This window comes from Homo sapiens, chromosome 6, assembly GCF_000001405.40.
Source record: "Homo sapiens chromosome 6, GRCh38.p14 Primary Assembly".
NCBI lineage: Eukaryota > Metazoa > Chordata > Mammalia > Primates > Hominidae > Homo > Homo sapiens.
Window position 1 is genome coordinate 17957101 of NC_000006.12, and position 20167 is coordinate 17977267.

Here is a 20167-nt window from a genome sequence, read left to right on the forward strand (position 1 = left end):
CGAACTCCTGACCTCAAGTGATCTGCCCGCCTTGGCCTCTCAAAGTGCAGGGATTACAAGTGTGAGCCATCGCACCAGGTCCCACTTTTTTATGCCATCCATATTCAATCATGTCTATATAACAAGACCTCCATAAAAACCCTCAAGCACAAAGTTTGGAGAGCTTCCAGATCACTGAGCACATGGAGGCAGCAGACAGGACAGTGAAAAAGAACTCGTTCACATGCTGGGAGGGTGGTGTACCCCATCTCCACAGGGACACAAGCTCCTGTGCTAGGGATAGGGACCCTTGCAGACCTCGCCCTATGTATCTCTTCATCTGGCTGTTTATTTGTATCCTCTAAGATAACCTTCATAATCAACTGGTAAATATAAGTGCTCCCCTGAGTTCTGTGAGCCTCTCCAGCAAATTAATCAAACCCAAAGAAGGGGTCCTGGAAACCCCAACTTGAAGCTGGTAGGTCAGAAGTTCCAGAAGCCCAGACTTGTGACTGATGTTTAAAACAGGGGGGCAGTCTTGTGGGACTGAGCCCTCAACCCGTGGGATCTGACACTATCTCTGAGTAGACACTGTCAGAACTGAATCAGAGGACACCCAGCTGGTGTTCACTGCTTGTTGGTGGGGGAAAACCCCAAGACATTTGGCCACAGAAGTCTTCTGTGTTGCTTGTTGTGGTGTGAGAGCAGAGGGAAAACACAATTTGAGTTTTCTGCAAAACACAGGCTTATCACAATATTTAAAGACATGATGTGTCTCATGGCCAGACAGAGTTGTTTGGTGTTTTTCCTCTTCACATTGTCATAAAGCTTAACATGACAATGACTTCACATACTTTTTCAAAACACTTTAAAAGAACAGCCTGAGGTTTAGACCAGCCTTCCTCTAGGAAACAGTCACAGAAAACATTTTCAATGGTGAAATGTCTCTAAAAGCTCTCACCAAACCCTGCTTTTGAAGCAGCTTCAGTCTGATAAACTGACACAGAAATAAAAAGCTTCTCATATAATAGACACCCGCCTTTACAAGCTGCTAAGCTGCCACTCACAATTATACCTCAGGCACAAGGAGGGTTTTACTCACCAGCCATTCTAATCAATTGCAATTTGTCTTTGGTGGCATTAATTTCATCTACTATCGCTAGATGATCATCAAATCAACCTAAATTCCTCAAAAGATACTGAAGGGGTTTGCAAAAATTCTTCCCTAAAAAATATTCTCTGGCTGTCCATTCCTCTCAGCAGTAATGTTCCTCCCAATTGCTTTTTAAGAATACTTATGTTTGCATATGGTGTTCTGGACAGCACACATCTGACTATATCTAGTTAGATACATCAAACTTCTGAGTAACTGAAATTGCTAAGTAAAATATCTATAAATAGGCAAATACACAGTCTGTGGCTTATAACATTCGTTTAGAAGCTATATATAGTAAAAAGTATTCTCTATAGATGTAGTACAGCTGTTATTTGAATTGTGACACGCAAAGACAATATGTATTTGAACAGCAGTTTACTTCTTTTATCAACTATCCTCATGTTTCAAATTTGACAGTTTTATTCCATTTCTTCATCTTCACCTTGAATATACAATGTGATATTTCAATTATATGATTTATTCTTATACTTTAATTCCATTTATTCCATCTAATCCATTGTCAAGGTGTTGTATTCATCCGAATGCAAAACTGATTTTCATCTACTACTTATTCAATACATAAAAATCCAATTATAAAACCATGTTGACAATGCTAACATTTGTGTGTCTTTTTCTTTTTCTTTTTTTTTTTTTTTTTTTTTTTGAGACAGGGTCTCACTCTGTGCCCAGGCTAGAGTGCAGTAGTGCAATCATAGCTCACTGCCACCTCTATCTTCCAGGCTCAAGCAATCCTCCCGCCTCAGCCTCCCACGTAGCTCCCAAGTAGCCTCCCAAGTAATCACCATGCCAGGCTAATTTTTTTTAAAATTTATATTTTGTAGAGATGGGGTCTCACTATCTTGCCCAGGCTGTGTCATTTATCTCTAAATAAAAAAATTACTGTAAGTCATATATAGGTCACTGTTTAAGGAGCTACATACATCTTATCATTCATTCAATGTTTACTCCGTGCTAGGTATACAATGACAAGCAAAACTGACATCATGCCTGAAGCTTCATAAGAGCTTCTAGAGACAGCCTCATCTATGTTATAGAGACTGCATGAAAAATAGCCATGCCCATACAAAGCAATGCATTTTAAATACATTTGCAAATTACTCTTTATTACTTACACTACATTATGTTTGGGAGATGCAATGCAAAAAAAGAGTTTTATAAAATATTCCATTGCCACCAAAAATAAAGTTCTCGGAACACCAGATGTTTCTCTGTAGGAACACATAAGAGTCAAGGGTTGGAAAGCAGCAGAGGAAAGAATGTATTCTTAGAAAAATAAACTGGATAGAAACAGGCAGTCAGTGTAAACAACTCTAAAATAAAATGATCTCAACACCTTCTGTATCAACAAGTAGAGAGTACTCCTCTTCAGGCAGAATTGATTATTTTCAATTATATTTCCTAAACCTCCACATTAACCCAAAATAAACATGAAAGTCAGGGACATCTAATGGTAGCTTTCCTTATTCAATTAAAAGCTATCAGTTCGGCTGGGCGCAGTGGCTCACGCCCGTAATCCCAGCACTTTGGGAGGCCGAGGCCGGCGGATCACCTGAAGTCAGGAGTTCGAGACCAGACTGACCAACATGGAGAAACCTCGTCTTTCCTAAAAATACAAAATTAGCCTGGTGTGGTGGCGCATGCCTGTAATACCAGCTACTTGGGAGCTGAGGCAGGAGAATCGCTTGAACCCGGGAGGCGGAGGTTGTGGTGAGCCGAGATCGCGCCATTCCACTCAAGCCTGGGCAATAAGAGCAAAACTCCACCTCAAAAAAAAAAAAACAACAACAAAAAACAAAACTCTCAGTTCTCACCAATTAACATGTCCTCCCCAAATGGTGGCTAGAAAAAGGTTTATCATGCATTCATTTTGAATGGCATTTGTGATTCCTCAACCCATGGGGAAATTTTAGGAGTTAAAAATCTGCCAACAAGGTAAAATCATAAAAAAAGGTTATGAGTCAAAGGGAAAATCACTCTTTAGTAACTAAAAAAAAGTAAACATTCTTTGAGAGTAGCAAAAAGAGAGCGAGTATAAAAAATAATTTTGGATTTTGCCTTAACTGGAAACACTAATGGACCAGCCTCTGGGCACCAATGTTTGTTGACTAAACTTAACAAATGAATTATAACTAAAAATAACACTGCTAAACTTTAAAACCAAGATGTTTTTGCTAAGCAAACTCTCCCCACAAATAGGTATCTCTTTCTATGTATTAACTATGCATTTATGAATGTGATCAGCCTGGCTAACAAATCAGTGACCATTTTGGGGTAATAACCTTCAATACTATTACCCAAAGAGGGATCCTCTTATATCAGTTATAGTTGGGGTTGGGGTACAGGGCAGCTCCTTCCTTTACCCAGGGGATATATCGAGAGCATCATCTCTCAGGAGGAGGTGAGATTTTTAAGTTGATCCAAAGGGACCATGGGTTTTAAATGTTTCAGAAATATTTTTATATGTCATTCCTCAGAGGTATATTCCCAGCAGAATAAAGGAATGTAAAGAATTGTGGTGTCTATCATATAGTAGTGCAGGAGAAACAGCAAAGTAAAAGTGAAATGAGCTGGGAAGAAGCCCCTACTGACTTCGTCATCAAGGAGTGAATTCACAGTATAACGTATCATTCATTCTTTCATTGTTTTTGAGCACGAATTGAGTACCGAACACTGCACTAGACCCCTTTCAAGATCCACAGTAGGAGAAACTAAGCCTCCTTTCAAGAAGCGTAGCATCTTTCAGTTCAAAAAAGTATTAAACAGCAGATTAACAAGTACATAAAAATATGGTTAAAATTATCTACATAATATTACAGGGGCTTAATGTTAAGCCAAGGGTCAGAGAAAGATTCTTAAAGGAAGACGTATGCTGAAACATCCAAAAGGAACCAATGAATGTGAGTTTGCAGAGAGGAGGCTAAAAGAGCACTTCAAACTGGAGAAAATACGGAAGTGGAAACTGGGATGTGCAGCTTAATGAGATCTGGACTTGGCAAGGAGGTGGACTTCACTAGTGTGGGCTGGTAAGGGGACCTGGAAAGGAGCTGGGATTCCAAAGGTGGAAGGTAGCAACTGATGTGGGATAATAAATAAGTTATTAAGATAGGCAATAAATCATGTCCCAGCATGAAAGGGACCTAAAACCACCCCAAAATTGGCCCAACAAGCACCAAGCATATTGTAAGCCCTTTATATTCTCCCCGAATTAGGTTGGACCATGTAGAGTCAAATTGAACTTTTAATATTTTACCAACTGACTACCATAAATTTGACATTAAACAAAACAGCCCAGTGACTGTATTTATAGTAGAGATGTTATTGAAGATATTGTTCTCTAAATAACACTAAAAGGACAGAAAGATCCTTCACCCAGGGCTTAGTAAATAGAATAGCTATGTTCTTTTTGAGCAACTAGCTTGTTTTCTTCTTATATACAATTGTATAACAGTTATTTTCCTGTTTGCATGGGCTTCTAGGATCCTCCAGCCAAGTAAGATGTCCACCTCCAGCAACGACATAGACTGCAGCGCACACCAGGCGTCTTACCTCTAGTTTCAAATTCTTCTCTTATTCTCACCTAAGCCCTGTGTTCCTCTGTATTCTAGGGTGCTTAGTGTTTGGTTGGCAACATTGTCTATTTTCCACATCTTAAAATTTCAGAATTGGGATACATTTGACAATCAAGGTTTAATAGTTCAACGGGCAATGGTTTTTCTTTTGTGTGGCACCTACATACCAATGTGTCTTATAATTGATGGTATTTTAGGTGCACTGAAAATATGGTAATAGGCTGGGTGTGGTGGTTCATGCCTGTAGTCCCAGCACTTTAGGAGGCCAAGGCGCGTGGATCACGTGAACAACCTGGCCAACATGGTGAAACCCCATCTCTACTAAAAATACAAAAATTAGCTGGGCGTGGTGGGGCGTGCCTGTAATCCCAGCTACTTGGGAGGCTGAGGCAAGAGAACTACTTGAACCCAGGAGGTGGAGGTTGCAGCGAGCTGAGATTGCGCCAGTGCACTCCAGTCTAGATGACAGAGAAAGACTCCGTCTCAAAAAACAAAGAAAAAAAAAACATGGTAATAAATTGAAGAACAGGCTTGAAATGTCCATAAAAGGTCAAGCTTTTGCTGCAAAGGCTGAGGAGAAGAAGCAATAAGTCATAAGGGAGACCGTTAAAAAAGCAGAGCGAGGAGAAAATTTGTGCAGGCAAGTAGCAACGGAGGGAACAGATGACACGGACCACAGAGATGAGCACAGCCAGGAAGAGGCAGCAGCCAGAGAGGCTCCACTTGAAAGAGGGTGGGGCAGGACACAACCATCTGTACCGGCCCTGCCCTCAGGAACAGCTGATGCTGGTGTGGGGGCTGTGTGCAAGTAAGGCTGAGTCTGGACAACATCCACAGGCACCCGGAGGCAGCTCAACCACAGAGTACTTCTGTTATATCTACTCTGGCCAGACAAATTCCTGTGGTCCTCTCTCTCTCTCTCCCTTTCCTCTGAGCTTCCATACATTGGAGGTGTAACACAGCCAATCTACACCTTTCCATTTAATTGGAATCTTCCTCATGCTTGACTCAAATTTTATTTCTCCAATTAGTTCTGGCTTATTAATGACAATGCAATGAATAGAATCAAACTGATGTTATCAGCCAGCCCCAAAGTTTCTTACTCAGATGCATCTGATTCAGCCCGTTAGACTCAGATCTGTCTGTCCCCTCCCCCACTACACTGTAAACTCAAAGTGCATAAAGATAATTGTTTATCCTATATGATTATAATTACATAACCAGCAGGTCTAGTCATCAAATAATTTTGCTTCCCTTTAAATGTTGTGACCAATGGAAGTGAGGTGAGGGAGTAAGAGTGTCATGTGAAAGGCTGGGTGCGGTGGCTCATGCCTGTAATCCCAGCACTTTGGGAGGCCGAGGTGGGCGGATCACCTGAGGTGGGGAGTTCAAGACCAGCCTGGCCAACATGGCGAAGCTCCGTCTCTACTAAAAATACAAAAATTAGCTGGGCATGGTGGCGGGCGCCTGTAGTCCCAGCTACTCGGGAGGCTGACGCAGGAGAATCACTTGAACCTGGGAGGGAGAGGCTGCAGTGAGCTAAGATCGTGCCGTTGCACTCTAGCCTGGGCAACAAGAGCAAAACTCCAACTCAAAAAAAATAAATAAATAAAAATAGAAGAGCATCATGTGAAGTAACATGGATAGATAAGGTCTTACAATATGAAGAAATATATTACCGATGACCACAAAAGGGCCCCAAGAGATTTGAGATTTGTAGGATAGATTTGTTCTATATCTTTCTTTTTTTGAGACAGAGTCTTGCTGTGTCGCCTAGGCTGGAGTGCTGCGCGTGATCGCAGCTTACTGCAACCTCCGCCTCCTGGGTTCCAACGATTCCCCTGCCTCAGGCTCCCAAGTAGCTGGGATTACAGGCACGCGCCACCACGCCCTGCTAATTTTTGCATTTTTAGTAGAGACAGGGTTCCACCATGTTGGCCAAGCTGGTTTCATACTCCTGACCTTGTGATCCGCCCACCTCAGCCTCCCAAAGTGTTGGGATTACGGGCGTGAGCCACCATGCCTGGCCAATATGTTCTATATCTTAATGGTGATAGTGGTTAATCAGGCATATGCAACTGTAAAAACTCAAGAAAGTGTACCCTTAAAATGGGTGCATTTTATCGTAGATAAATTTACACCTCAGCTAGGCACAATGGGTCATGCTTGTAATTCCAGCACTTTGGAAGTCTCAGGCAGGAGGATAGCTTGATTCCAGGAGGTTCGTGGTTACAGTGAGCTATGATGATGCCACTGCACTCCAGTCTGGGTGACAGAGTGAGACCCTGTCTCTGAACACCCACACCCACACACACCCACACCTCTCAATAAGGTTAATTTTAAAGTATATTAGCCAAGAACTAATTATTCAGTTTAGAGTAAATCAGCTCCATCAACTCTCTTCCTTCTCTTACAGCAGCTCATATCGTAGCCATCGCCCTAATTCTTATAAAACAAACACCCTTGAAAAATATAACTGATAATCAGAAAAGCCCAAGTTTCTACTTTTTACAAGCTGTGATCATTCACTGGCCTAAAAGGATGTTGTAATAAATCTTGTCTGTGGTTCTCAAAGGTTGACATCAAGTAATTGTACTTTATTCTCTATTGCCCTCAAATATATATATATATTTAGAAAGCAAAAATTAAAATAAGTACTAAACCCAATCATTGGATAAAATATAAGTAAATCAAATTTATAAAAATCAGTAGAAAAGTCAGTGTTATCTACTTTATAAAAACAGTAGAAAATGTCGGTGAGGAAGAAAGTGTAGGTGGAATCCTATCAAAATAAGCATGCACCAATGCTGCTTTCTCGAAGAGAAAGACAGAAGTTTAAAGAATTTTTTTTTGAAATAACATAGACAATTGGACAAAAATGATACTAGTCTGGCAAATTTTTCATGGGCTTAGGTCAGTAGAGCTTCACAGTTGTTTTGATTTTATCCCAGATAACCCAGGTCAATGTTTTTAGAATTCTGAAAGTTTTGTGGTTTTCTTGTTGTTTTGTTTTTTTGAGACTGAGTCTCGCTCTGTCGCCAGGCTGGAGTGTAGTGGTGTGATCTCGGCCCAATGCAACCTCTGACTCCCTGGTTCAAGCGATTCTCCCGCCTCAGCCTCCCGAGTAGCTGGATTACAAGCGCCTGCCACCACACCCAGCTAATTTTTTTAAATAATATTTTTAGTAGAGATGGGGTTTCACCATGTTGGCCAGGCTAGTCTCAAACTCCTGGCCTCAAGTGATCTGCCCACCTTGGCCTCCCCATAGCGCTGAGATTAAGGCATGAGCCACTGCACCGGGCCAGGATTTTAAAAATCAAAGGAAACACATGTGTCCCAAATGAAAAGGTTACAAGCTTTCCAAGAAGTCTGGATTAATTTTCTCTAATTGTTCTTAGTATCATGTTTAGATATCCTAATCATATTTAATCTTTAGCTATGTTCTGTCTGCAAATTTACTTAGGTGATAAATAAGTGTTGTTTCCATACAACCATCTAGCCATACAAACCATCTAGAACTTTACTAAGAATAGTATTCAAATATGAAATATCATAGGTAGAGATGAATAAGGCTTTTGTTGTATATGATTCAAATCTCCTACAGACCATTTTAATAACCAGTATTTCAATAATTATTGAGAGAAACTCAGAGTTCACATGCAGAAATGGTTCTCCAATCCTTACAAGATTTCACATAGCTTTTACTGAGTCAAAAGTTCCATTCTCTTTTTAGCAGCAGGAAGGAAAATAAATTATTACAAGTGACTCAAAACAAAGCAATTTAACTGTGCTTCATTAGTGAGATGTTTTCAGAGCATAGCAATAAAGATATGTGTGATGTTAAATCTCATTACTTATCCAGTGGCTTTATTAACAGGGTTGATCTTGACCTTGTTAATTTATGTTTGTCTTTTTGGTGATAGATAACACATTATCTTTAGTCATAATTTTAGATTAAGGAATAACCACAAACTCATCAAATTATTTGCTTGTAAAATTAAAAAGACGTACAATCTTTATTTATTTCTCAAATAAGTAGGTGGTTGGATAAAAGTAAGGCTAAAATGGGGCCGGGCGTGGTGGTTCACGCCTGTAATCCCAGCACTTTGGGTGGCTGAGGCAGGCGGATCACTTGAGGTTAGGAGTTCACTTGAGGTCAGGAGTTTGAGACCAGCCTGGCCAATATGGCAAAACCCCATCTCTACTAAAAATACAAAAATTAGCTGGATGTGATGGCGTGTGCCTATAATTCCAGCTAGTGAGGAGGTTGAGGCATGAGAATTGCTTGAACCCGGGAGGCAAAGGTTGCAGTGAGCGAAGATTGTGTCACTGCACTCCAGCCTGGGTGACAGAGTGAGATTCTGTCTCAAAACAAACCAAAAGTAAGGCTAAAATGAAAATTGTCAAAGTCAACTCATAAAAATTATGTGTATGTATGCGTTATTTTTTATGTGTGCTATTTTTTATTTTATTTTTATTTCCATCTCTAAAGTGGCCTAACATAGCAACCTTAGTACCCATGAGAATACCCTAGTATACCCATTAGAATTTGTCTCTAATGTCCTTTTCCTCTAAAGGGACTTAATATCTTGAAACAGTTAATATTCAAGACTCTGAATTTTTTTTTTTTTTTTTTTTGACAGTGAGCAGGATTCTTTCAAAAGTTCTGAAAAAAAAAAAAAACCCATGATTTAGAAGACTTTTAATGGTCAAGTATGACAATCTGAGCACTAACAAGAAAGGAGGGGTGAATAAATATAGAGTGTCTCCTAGATCTAATCCCAACACAACACAGTGCTTGATGGTTTCAACATGGATCGGTATGGATTCACTTGACCACATCCTTCCCATCAGATAGTTTTGAGAAATGTATCAAAAATTGTTTTTATTGTTAACATCATTATGTGTCTCACTACTTCAGCTTCATCCTTCTGTCTTATGATTCTTATTATTGCACGAACAATAATAACACACACTAAGAAAAATATCTAACATTTTTTGAGTATTTGCTGTAAATACTCAAAGCGTATTATTTATTTTACATGAAGTTGGAAATTAAAGCACAGTGAGGTTAAGCAGCGTGCCCAAAATCACCCAGCTGGGAAGTGCAGGTCCAGGCTGAGGGAACCTGGACTCCAGAGGTAATGCTCCTAATACTGCTTCCTTAATTAGGGAAAGAAAATACCAAATATTCCAGCAGTACCTAACTTGATTTAGTAGACACTCTATTCCCTTTTGGTATTATGCACTTTCTCAGGGGAAAAGTAATCCGAGGAGATAAAAACTTTGGTGAAGGAAAATGTTAAAGATAAAGCAAAACAGAAAATTTCAACAAGGCAGAACTTTGTCTTGGACTAAACATTCAGCTGAACCTAGTGCTGTAAATTTTTAGATAGTGCTACCGCCTCAAGGCAATATGCAATTGCTGTGTTTTCATAATCTTAAAAACTCAGTAGTTATTCACTCAGTGGTATAAACTACCAAGCACAGAAAAAGGAAAATGCATCACAATGTTAAAAGAATGAGTAAACTGTATTTTACCTCTAATATCTTATATTTTCAAAGTGTTCAACAGTGAATGGGCATCACATTTATAATTAGAAAAAAGCTATATTAAAAACAAAGTTCTTATGAATAAAGAAAGAGAGAACTCATCTTATGCTCAATCACTCAAGGATGGAAAACTAAACTTCTCTAGGGCAGAGAAAACTATCCGAAGTCTTTCTGGAAGACTGCACGTGTCAGGAGCAGAGATGCCTGGTTATCCATTTCCATAGTCATGATGCCCCCACACACAGACTGCTATCAGCAACAACTTTGTATAAGCTGCTCCCCATCTTTTACTCTCCAAAGGAAAGACCTGCAGTGTTAGGTTTCCTCCTGCTCCCAACTGCCCAGCCACTGAGCCATCTGCCTTCCTGCTCTGATTTCTGAACCAAGAAGGCTCAACCATGGGACTAGGACCCGCTGATGTTTGACAATCACTGTGAGATGCATCACAAGTAACTTGTTAATAAGGTGCTCATTAAGTAAGTCTGTAAAAGCTTACTTAATAAAGTCTGTGAAGGTCTTAATAAATGCTTAATAAAGCCTGCAAATGGCTTATTTAAAAATATAAATAAAAACAGGTTCAAAGCTATCCCCTGTAGACTGCCATTTTCACATGACTTCCATTCCAATGTACATTCTTGGACGGCATACTGAGAATTGCCCACAATGCTGAGAACCCCTGGGGGACTGACAAACGTAGGCATATTATTTGACATGTGTGCTGCAGTGGGGAACAAAAAAATGTTGAAAACTGCCACAAGAGTAAGCAGAAGCTGCAGCATCAACCCAATGGCCAATTAGGAACCAGAGAACGAGAAGAACCCAGAGATCCCCGCTTACTCACCAGGAGAAAGAAGAGTAAGCAGGCCAGCAGCCCTGCCACTCACAGGGCTGTCCCAGATTCACAGGCAATGGACTCCAGGTGGAGCTGGAGGAAGAGGCCCTGGCAATCTACCAGTACCTCTCCTTTCTCTCAATTCTTTCACTCCAGTCCTCTCTCCCTATGACAACAGGAGGAACAGCTTCTCATGCTGACTCACAAGAATGCCCAACTACATCAGGTTGGTGTAGGGTCCATTCATCCAGTCTGGGACCACACACCACCTCTGGGTGTATAGCTCTGGCAGTACAGGAAATGAAACATCCCGACCTCACAACTTTGCCTAGGATAGAATTCTCTTCCACTAGTTACCTGCATAGAATCTGCAGCTAATGCTGCTCCATAGGTTGTGCAGTGAACATTAAAAATGTGAACTTTGTCAAAGACTGGTGACCTCCTGGCTGGACCAACCATTACTTATCTCATGTAGTCCTAAGCAGCTACAGCCTCTGCCTGTCAGCCAAAGGCAGTAGCAGCCAAAGCTGTAAGGGTCCAGAGCTACATTTGTACTGCCATTACCCCCAAAAGCCACATGACAGCACAAAGGCTATCATTATGTAACAATTTAATGCAGAAATTAGAGGTCTCAGAGGGCCCAGACTAGAAGCACTAGAACCACCAGTGATGTGACAGACACAACCTGAGGACTTTCTACCCACAGACTCATCTACCTAGGCACAGCTCTTATAATAAAAGTCTATATCCATATCTTTCATTATATTCAACTATAAAACATCTACATCAGGTTGGTGTAGGGTCCACTCATCCAGTCTGGGACCACACACCACCTCTGGGTGTATAGCTCTGGCAGTACAGGAAATGAAACATCCAAGGCACTTACTATGTACAAGGCATGTGCCAGCTGCTTCGAGAAAGGAAGAGGGAAGAAACAAAAGACAAATAAGACAAGGGGCTCTGCTCTCAAGGAGTTTGCAGTCTAGAGGGTATGATAAGCCATTTGTACAGATTCTTCACGGACATTGAACTGGTCACTGTCTTTATTCAGAGCAATAAGTTTTGACCACACGGCTGGAGGCTCTACCTCCAATCGTGATATCTTCTGCTTTGTACTCTAGTTATTGGGGGCTGGCCCTTTGCCATCTTAGACATAGTATATACTCACTAAATGTTTGTTGTACTACTTAATTATATTTATATTAATTGGATATAAAGTTACTAGGCTTTAGTTAGCATAGGGGATTCATAGACTGCCAATACTACTTAGTCGTAAATGATTTCTGAGGAAATGACTGGCTGAAGCTAGTGACACACTGTGTTCAATAATATTAGGTTTCTATACTTTTATTTTTCTTCCTGAGGCAACTGACTTTATTATCCCCATACTTATGCTGGGGACTCTTGTTCCAGGGTTTACCATCCTGGAGAGGATGAACTTGAGGGCTTCTCTGTTAAAATTCAGAATAGAGAAATATTTTTACTTGCATATCTGGTTCTCTGGCATCCCTTACATGAATATATTTTACCCCAGAACTGTTTACTTGGGAAATCTTTTGGTTTTTGGCATTCATTTACTGACCCACTAAAATTTGGAAAATATATTTAGGATATTTAACAGAAGCATTCTAGTTTCCTTTGAATTTATTATTTTCTTTTAAAAAGTTTTAAAATATACCATACAAACCTAAATGCCTGTGTATTTACTTGTGTTTTCTTTTTTTTTTTTTGAGACGGAGTCTCGCTCTTTCACCCAGGCCGGAGTGCAGTGGCGCGATCTCGGCTCACTGAAAGCTCTGCCTCCCGGGTTCACGCCATTATCCTGCCTCAGCCCCGCAAGTAGCTGGGATTACAGGCGCCCGCCACCACGCCCGGCTAATTTTTTGTATTTTTAGTAGAGACAGGGTTTCACCGTGTTAGCTGGGATGGTCTCGATCTCCTGACCTCGTGATCCGCCCGCCTCAGCCTCCCAAAGTGCTGGGATTACAGGCGTGAGCCACCGCGCCCGGCCGTGTTTTCTTAAATAAGGGATTCATGCATGCTTTCTTAGAACAGTTTTTGATCCATTTATTCAATTTAAGTTTTTGTGTATAGAAATACATAAAAGCAGGCCGGGCATGGTGACTCATGCCTGTAATCCCAAAATTTTGGTAGGCCAAGGCGGTGGGGATCACTTGAGGCCAGGAGTTTGAGACTAGCCTGGTCAACATGGTGAAACCCTGTCTCTACTAAAAATACAAAAATTATATATATATATCAGGATGCTGAGAGAGGAGATCCAATGGCAGTGTGAAAGTAACTAGATTTCAGATCGCTTACATGCTTCCAGCAATTTGCCTGCTTCAATTACCAGGTAGTTTTCTTTTCTCTTTCCTTTTCTTTTCTCCCCTAACCCCCTTCTTTATTAATCTTAATGCAATATTTGACTTAAATATCTGCGTCCTGGATAGGCCTGGCCATGAGTGTTAATGACATGCACCTCCTTTTCCCTAATCCTCTTACTGAATTCTTTCTAGGGATGTTAGTGATAGGCTCAGATAGGAGTACTGAACAGACATAGGTTATAACCACTTAAAAGCCTTATATCCATTCACCTGAGCAGTTTGTCTCCAAAGAGCACACTCTTGGCTACAACACTTGATAGTGCTTTACAAAACTACTTATTTATACTCAACAGGTATCTATCAAAACAGTGCAAAAAGCAAATAAGAGATTTCCAAGGGAAAAGCTGCAGCTCAGAGACAAAGTAATTTACAACACTTTTACAAATTTCAATTTTATTTCGGCTTTTAAAAAGATTGGTGAGGTTATTTCAATACATCAAAATACAAAAACAAAGATGTAGGCTACCACTCAAAAAATTCAGTCTACATACAAATAACAGAGACTGGTCAATTTTTAAGGGAAAATATCCTTTAATGATTCTTAGTATGATCTGGCCTGAAGGACCCAAGATCCTCAGAACTCCAATAGCTGATGTACTATTAGACATCGCACACACCAGGGACACCTAACTGTACTTCACAGTTCAGAGTTCACATAGCTATGGTGGTATTTCCATCAATTTCCAGGAAAAGAGATAATTAATGTGATCACTTCACAAAATTAAATGTATCCAAGTTTTAAATTCTGAGATTATGTCCTTTCTCCTATTCTGGTGTTAAGCTGACCTCTATTTTATAATAAAATATTAAAATTTAGTAGCGGTTTGTTTTTTTCCTTTTTTTTTGACACAGGGTCTCACTCTGTCGCCCAGGCTGGAGTGCAGTGGTGTAATCATGGCTCACTGCAGCCTAGACCTTCTGCATTCAAGTGATCCTCCCATTTCAGCCCTGCAAGTAGCTGGGACTACAAGTGAGCACTACTACCACACCCAGCTAATTTTTCTATTTTTTGTAGAGATGGGGTTTTGTCATGTTGCCCAGGCTGGTCTCAAGCTCCTGGGCCCAAGCGATCCTCCCACCTCTGCCTCCCAAAGAATTGGGATTACAGGAGTGAGTCACCACGTCCGGCTTGCTCTTGTTTTAGTGTGATTACTCGGCATATTTAAAAGAGGCTGGGAACTCTCTGTTTATCCAAATTTTTATTTCTACTGTTTTTTAAAAATCCTTAAGTCTGAGAACCAATGAGCAAGGGCAGCTAACAGTCACTCTTGGAGGGAAAAAAACCAAAACTAGTTAAATAATAATCTAGCTAGAGAGCTTAAAAAAAATGTCCCTAGGATTACAGTAGACCAGCAATTTTTGAACACTATTTCCAATGCATAATTCATCATAAAAATGTAGACTAGGCTGTAATCCTAGAAAGAAGAATACTATTCCATCAAAGCCAACAATACTTCAAGGCTTCAAAAAACTTAAAGCGATATTACCATGCTAATGTTACCTATTTGTACTGTAACTCTTTGTAAGTCTAGATTCAAAAGGAGATGCTTAAAAGTGGATAAGGCTGCTCAAATTTAACACCGTTATCTTGATAAACCTTCCCCACTACTATCCTCCTTCCTCTTTATTCAAAACATTATCCTTGAAACAAGTAATTTTAAGGATCTTTCTCAATGTCATAATGTAACCATTCCCTGTTACAATTTGCATAGTGAATACTAAACTTTAATTAACTGTATGAATAGAAGTAGAGAGCAAAAAGGCAAAACAAAACCAAAAACAGTATTTCATTTAAAAACCTTACAAAGGTCCAATTACAACTGCAAGCTCAGCTATAAATCTTTACACATTCTCTCTTTAGCTGGGAAAATAGGTGGGCGCCAAAGGCATCAATTCTGAGGACTTGTTTTATTAAACCCTAGAACAGAATGTAAGTATGTTTAAAGGCTTGTTAATCTGTTCAACAAACTACATGTGGATTTATTGAATGTGGCCCTTCCAAAATCCGGGACAGATCTTTTCAACACTCGCAACAGATGCCTATGCAGTTCGTCGTTTTGCGCTTTCTGGTTTTCCTGAGGCTCCAGCTTGAGATACAGAAATATTTATGGTCATTTGTGGTGGGTGTGCAGTCTAGGGAGTGTCTCCCCAAGACAATACAAAGGGCCAACAGTAAAGAGCAAAGCTTCCCTTTCCTCAAAGGCTTCCTTCCTGTTCCTTGTCTTTGAGAGAGAGTGAGAAAAAAAAAAAAAAAAAAAAACAAGGCTCCAAACTTTTTCCCCTAAGGGAACTACAAACAGAGGTTTCCCTCAAGCCTCTTCTAACAGCAGCCAGTTCATCAAGCCCACAGACCAGACCCTGAAGAGCCCCATGGAATCAATAACCACTTTGCTTTTGAAAGAAAGGGGAAGAGGGCATAAACCAGAGACACAGACACACTAACCTGAGTTCATCCCACAGTGGAAGATAGGAAATATTGGAGATGAACTGGAGTTTGGTAGGGTTGCAGCAGAATCCTCAGAAACAAAACACGATGCCCAAGGAAGTTCTAAACCAACAATAAATGTCATTTCTCCACTCCCACACATATATACACTTGTTGCATAAAACAGCTGTATACCTTTAAGAACAGCTTAAAAATCACTGGATCCCACAAAGAACACAACTATATAAGATGACTACTAATTAAAAGATTCAAATCAGATGATTTTGTTATAATGTTCTGCAGACACAGGCAAAGGAGGTATGTAGAATGTCTGTAAGGAATCCAGGATTCTCAGCTAGCTGATAACGACTTCATGCTGCTGCTTTATTTCATTTGACACCTTCCATTCTCGTATCAGCTACTGCGTGCAAACCAAACCTCCCAAGAATGGTGACCCTGTCCTCTTCAGTTCACCTAACACCCTGGCCAAGAAGTAAATTAAAATGCAATGTATTTCAGCTCCTATAAATGTTACCTACTTACTCTATTTAACTCAACTCTCAAAGTACCGTTGGGATAAATCTGAACATTACAACTTAAAGAAAAAAAAAACCCTTACAGACTATCTAGTCCAGCCCTCAATTTTACAGATGAAGAAACCTAGCTGCAAAAGGATCAACAGCTATCTCAAAGAAGCAGACCAAGTCAGTGGCAGAATCAGATGGCACCCAGACGTCTCACAGTTCACTGTGCCATGCTGCTGCTCCATAGCCCAGATCGGAGCCTCTGCATGGATGTGGTCCCCATGGCTTTGCTAGAATTGTCACATCATTACAGGACTGGAAACAGGGAACTGGAGCCCACAACTCTCAAACCAGAAAGCTTAGAAAGAACCTGTGCCTTCTAACAAGTTGGTATCAGGTGAAGGATAGGCAAGTACTTTGCATTTAGATAAGTTAGGTAATTCTTTCCCCTCTAATGTAATTCAAGTAAAAACAAATAGCAAGATGCACTTTAATTAAATACATCTGTTTAGAGAGTCCTTATGTTAGGAACCTGGTTTTTTATTTTTATTTTTTTGAGACGGAGTCTTGCTCTGTCACCCAAGCTGGAGTGCAATGGCGTGATCTCAGCTCACTGCAACCTCCACCTCCCGGGTTCAAGCGATTCTCCTACCTCAGCCTCCTGAGTAGCTGGGATTACAGGCACACGCCAACATGCCCGGCTTTTTTGTATTTTTAGTAGAGATGGGGTGTCACCATGTTGGCCAGGCTGGTCTGGAACTCCTGACCTCATGATCTGCCCACCTCGGCCTCCCAAAGTGCTAGGATTACAGGCTTGAGCCACTGCGCCCGGCGGGAACCTCGTTTACTATACTAGACCGACGGTTTTCAACCTTGGCCACACATGAGAATCAACAGCCAACCATGTGCGTTAAGTCTTGGGCATTCAACCTGGTCAAACCTTTGGATGGCTATACCCCCAGACACTGTGGAGCAAAGACACGTCATATGTACTTTGCCCTGTTCAGATTCCTAACCTACAGAATTCATGGGTATTAGTAAAATGGAGTTTTTTTTAGACCACTAAGTTTTAGAGTAGTTAAGCAACAATAGTAACTGGGACACCTGGGAAGCTTTTTTAAAAAAAATCCTAGTGTCCAAGGTGCACTACAGCCCAATTAAGTGAGAATCTCTGGGTCTGGGACCCAACCATCTATTTTTAAAGCATCCCAGGAAATTCTGTGGTGCAGCTAAGGTTGAGAACCAAAGTCCACATCCATGTTGCTTAATGCACTGGCCACATATAGCTGTTTAAATCAATGAAAATAAAAGTTAAATTCCTTGATCATAACCACATGTCAAGTATTCAATGATCACATAGGGCTACTGGCTACCACATTGGACAGTGAAGATATAGCATATTTCCATCATCTCAGGAAGTTCTATTGGACAGTGCTGGTCTAGACTAGTTCTCAAAGCTTGGTCCCAAGCTACCAGCATCAGCCATCACCTGGGAACTTGTTAGAAATGCACATTCCCAGCTGGGCGCAGTGGTTCACACCTGTAATCCCAGAACTTTGAGAGAAAGAGGAGGGCAGATCATTTGAGGTCAGCAGTTTAAGGCCAGCCTGGCCAACATAGTGAAACCCTATCTCTACTAAAAATAAAAAAATAAAAAAAAACTAGCAGGCGGGGTGGCAGGTTTCTGTAATCCCAGCTACTCGGAAGGCTCAGGCAGGAGAATTGTTTGAATCTGGGAGGTGAAGGTTGCAATGAGCTGAGACTGTGTTCCGAATTAGTAGGTTCTTGGTCTCACTAACTTCAAGAATGAAGCTGCGGACCCTCACAATGAATATTACAAATCTTAAGTTGGCGCGTCTGGAGTTTTTTCCTTTTGGTGGGTTCGTGATCTCGCTAGCTTACAAAAGTGAAGCTACAGACCTTCAGCGGTGAGCGTTACAGCTTATAAAGACAATGTAGGCCCAAAAAGGGAGCAGCAACATAATTCATTGCAAAGACCAAAAGAAAAAAAAGCTTCCAGTACAGAACAAAACGCGAACAAGTTACTGCCGCTAGTTCGGGCAGCCTGCTTTTATTCTCTTATCTGGCCCCACCCGCATCCTGCTGATTGGTAGAGCCCAGAGGTCTGTTTTGACAGGGCGCTGATTGGTGCGTTTACAATCCCTGAGCTAGACACAAAGGTTCTCCACGTCCTCATTAGATTAGCTAGATACAGAGTCCACACAAACGTTCTCCAAGGCCCCACCAGAGTAGCTAGATACAGAGTGTCAATTGGTGCATTCACGAACCCTGAGCTAGACATAGGGTGCTAATTGGTGTTTACAAACCTTGGGCTAGATACAGAGTGCCGATTGGTGTATTTACAATCCTTGAGCTAGACATAAAGGTTCTCCAAGGCCCCACCAGAGTAGCTAGATACAGTGTCGATTGGTGCATTCACAAACCCTGAGCTAGACACAGGGTGCTGATTGGTATGTTTACAAACCTTGAGCTAGATACAGAATGCCGATTGGTGTATTTACAGTCCCTGAGCTAGACATAAAGCTTCTCCACATCCTCACTAGACTCAGGAGCCCAGCTGGCTTCACCCAGTGGATCCCGCACCGGGGCTGCAGGTGGAGCTACCTGCCACTCTCACGCCGGCACTCCTCAGCCCTTGGGTGGTCGATGGGACTGGGCGCGGTGGAGAAGGGGCCGGCGCTCGTCAGGGAGGCTCGGGCTGCACAGGAGCCCACGGAGCGGGTGGGAGGCTCAGGCATGGCGGGCTGCAGGTCGCGAGCCCTGCCCCGCTGTAAGGCAGCTAAGGCCCGGCGAGAAATCGAGCGCAGCGCCGGTGGGCCGGCACTGCTGGGGGACCCAGTACACCCTCCGCAGCCGCTGGCCCGGGTGCTAAGCCCTTCATTGCCCGGGGCCGGCAAGGCCGGCTGGCTGCTCCGAATGCGGGGCCCGCCAAGCCCACGCCCACCCAGAACTCCAGCTGGCCCGCAAGCGCGGCGCGCAGCCCCGGTTCCCGCTCGCGCCTCTCCCTCCACACCTCCCTGCAAGCTGAGGGAGCCGGCTCTGGCCTCGGCTAGCCCAGAAAGGGGATCCCACAGTGCAGCGGTGGGCTGAAGGGCTTCTCAAGTGCCGCCAAAGTGGGAGCTCAGGCAGAGGAGGCGCCGAGAGCGAGCGAGGGCTCTGAGGACTGCCAGCACGCTGTCACCTCTCAAAATCACGCCACCGCACTCTATCCTGGGCAACAGAGCAAGACTCCATCTCAAAAAAAAAAAAAAAAAAGAGGCTGGGTGTGGTGGCTCACCTGTAATCCCAGCACTTTGGGAGGCCAAGGTGGGTGGATCACGAGGTCAGGAGATCGAGACCATCTTGGCTAACATGGTGAAACCCTGTCTCTACTAAAAATATAAAAAAATTAGCTGGGTGTGGTGGCGGGCGCCTGTAGTACCAGCTACTCGGGAGGCTGAGGCAGGAGAATGGCGTGAACCCGGGAAGCAGAGCTTGCAGTGAGCCGAGACTGCGCCACTGCACTCCAGCCTGGGAAACAGAGCGAGACTCCGTCTCAAAAAACAACAACAAAAAAAAAAAAAAAAAAAAAAGAAATGCACATTCCCAGGCTCCACCCTAGACCTACCAAATCAGAACATGTCAGGGTGGGGCCCTCCAGGTGATTCTGATGCACATTCAAGTTTGAATACCACCCATCTTGTTACTACTGCCCATACAAAAT

At 42.0% G+C, this 20167-nt stretch overlaps 1 protein-coding gene across 5 annotated transcripts in view, besides 1 other annotated feature; it reads right to left on the reverse strand.

The window, feature by feature from the left end:
- KIF13A (kinesin family member 13A) overlaps window positions 1-20167 on the reverse strand; it is a 228510-nt gene that overhangs the window by 197975 nt on the left and 10368 nt on the right. The window lies entirely within an intron of this gene.
- Window positions 19300-19860: an enhancer, noted in NCBI's record as "H3K27ac-H3K4me1 hESC enhancer chr6:17976631-17977191 (GRCh37/hg19 assembly coordinates)". NCBI's record gives its function as "activates a minimal SCP1, AML or CMV promoter by ChIP-STARR-seq in naive H9 embryonic stem cells {active_cell/tissue: H9 hESC(naive)}" and the evidence as "EXISTENCE:reporter gene assay evidence [ECO:0000049][PMID:30033119]".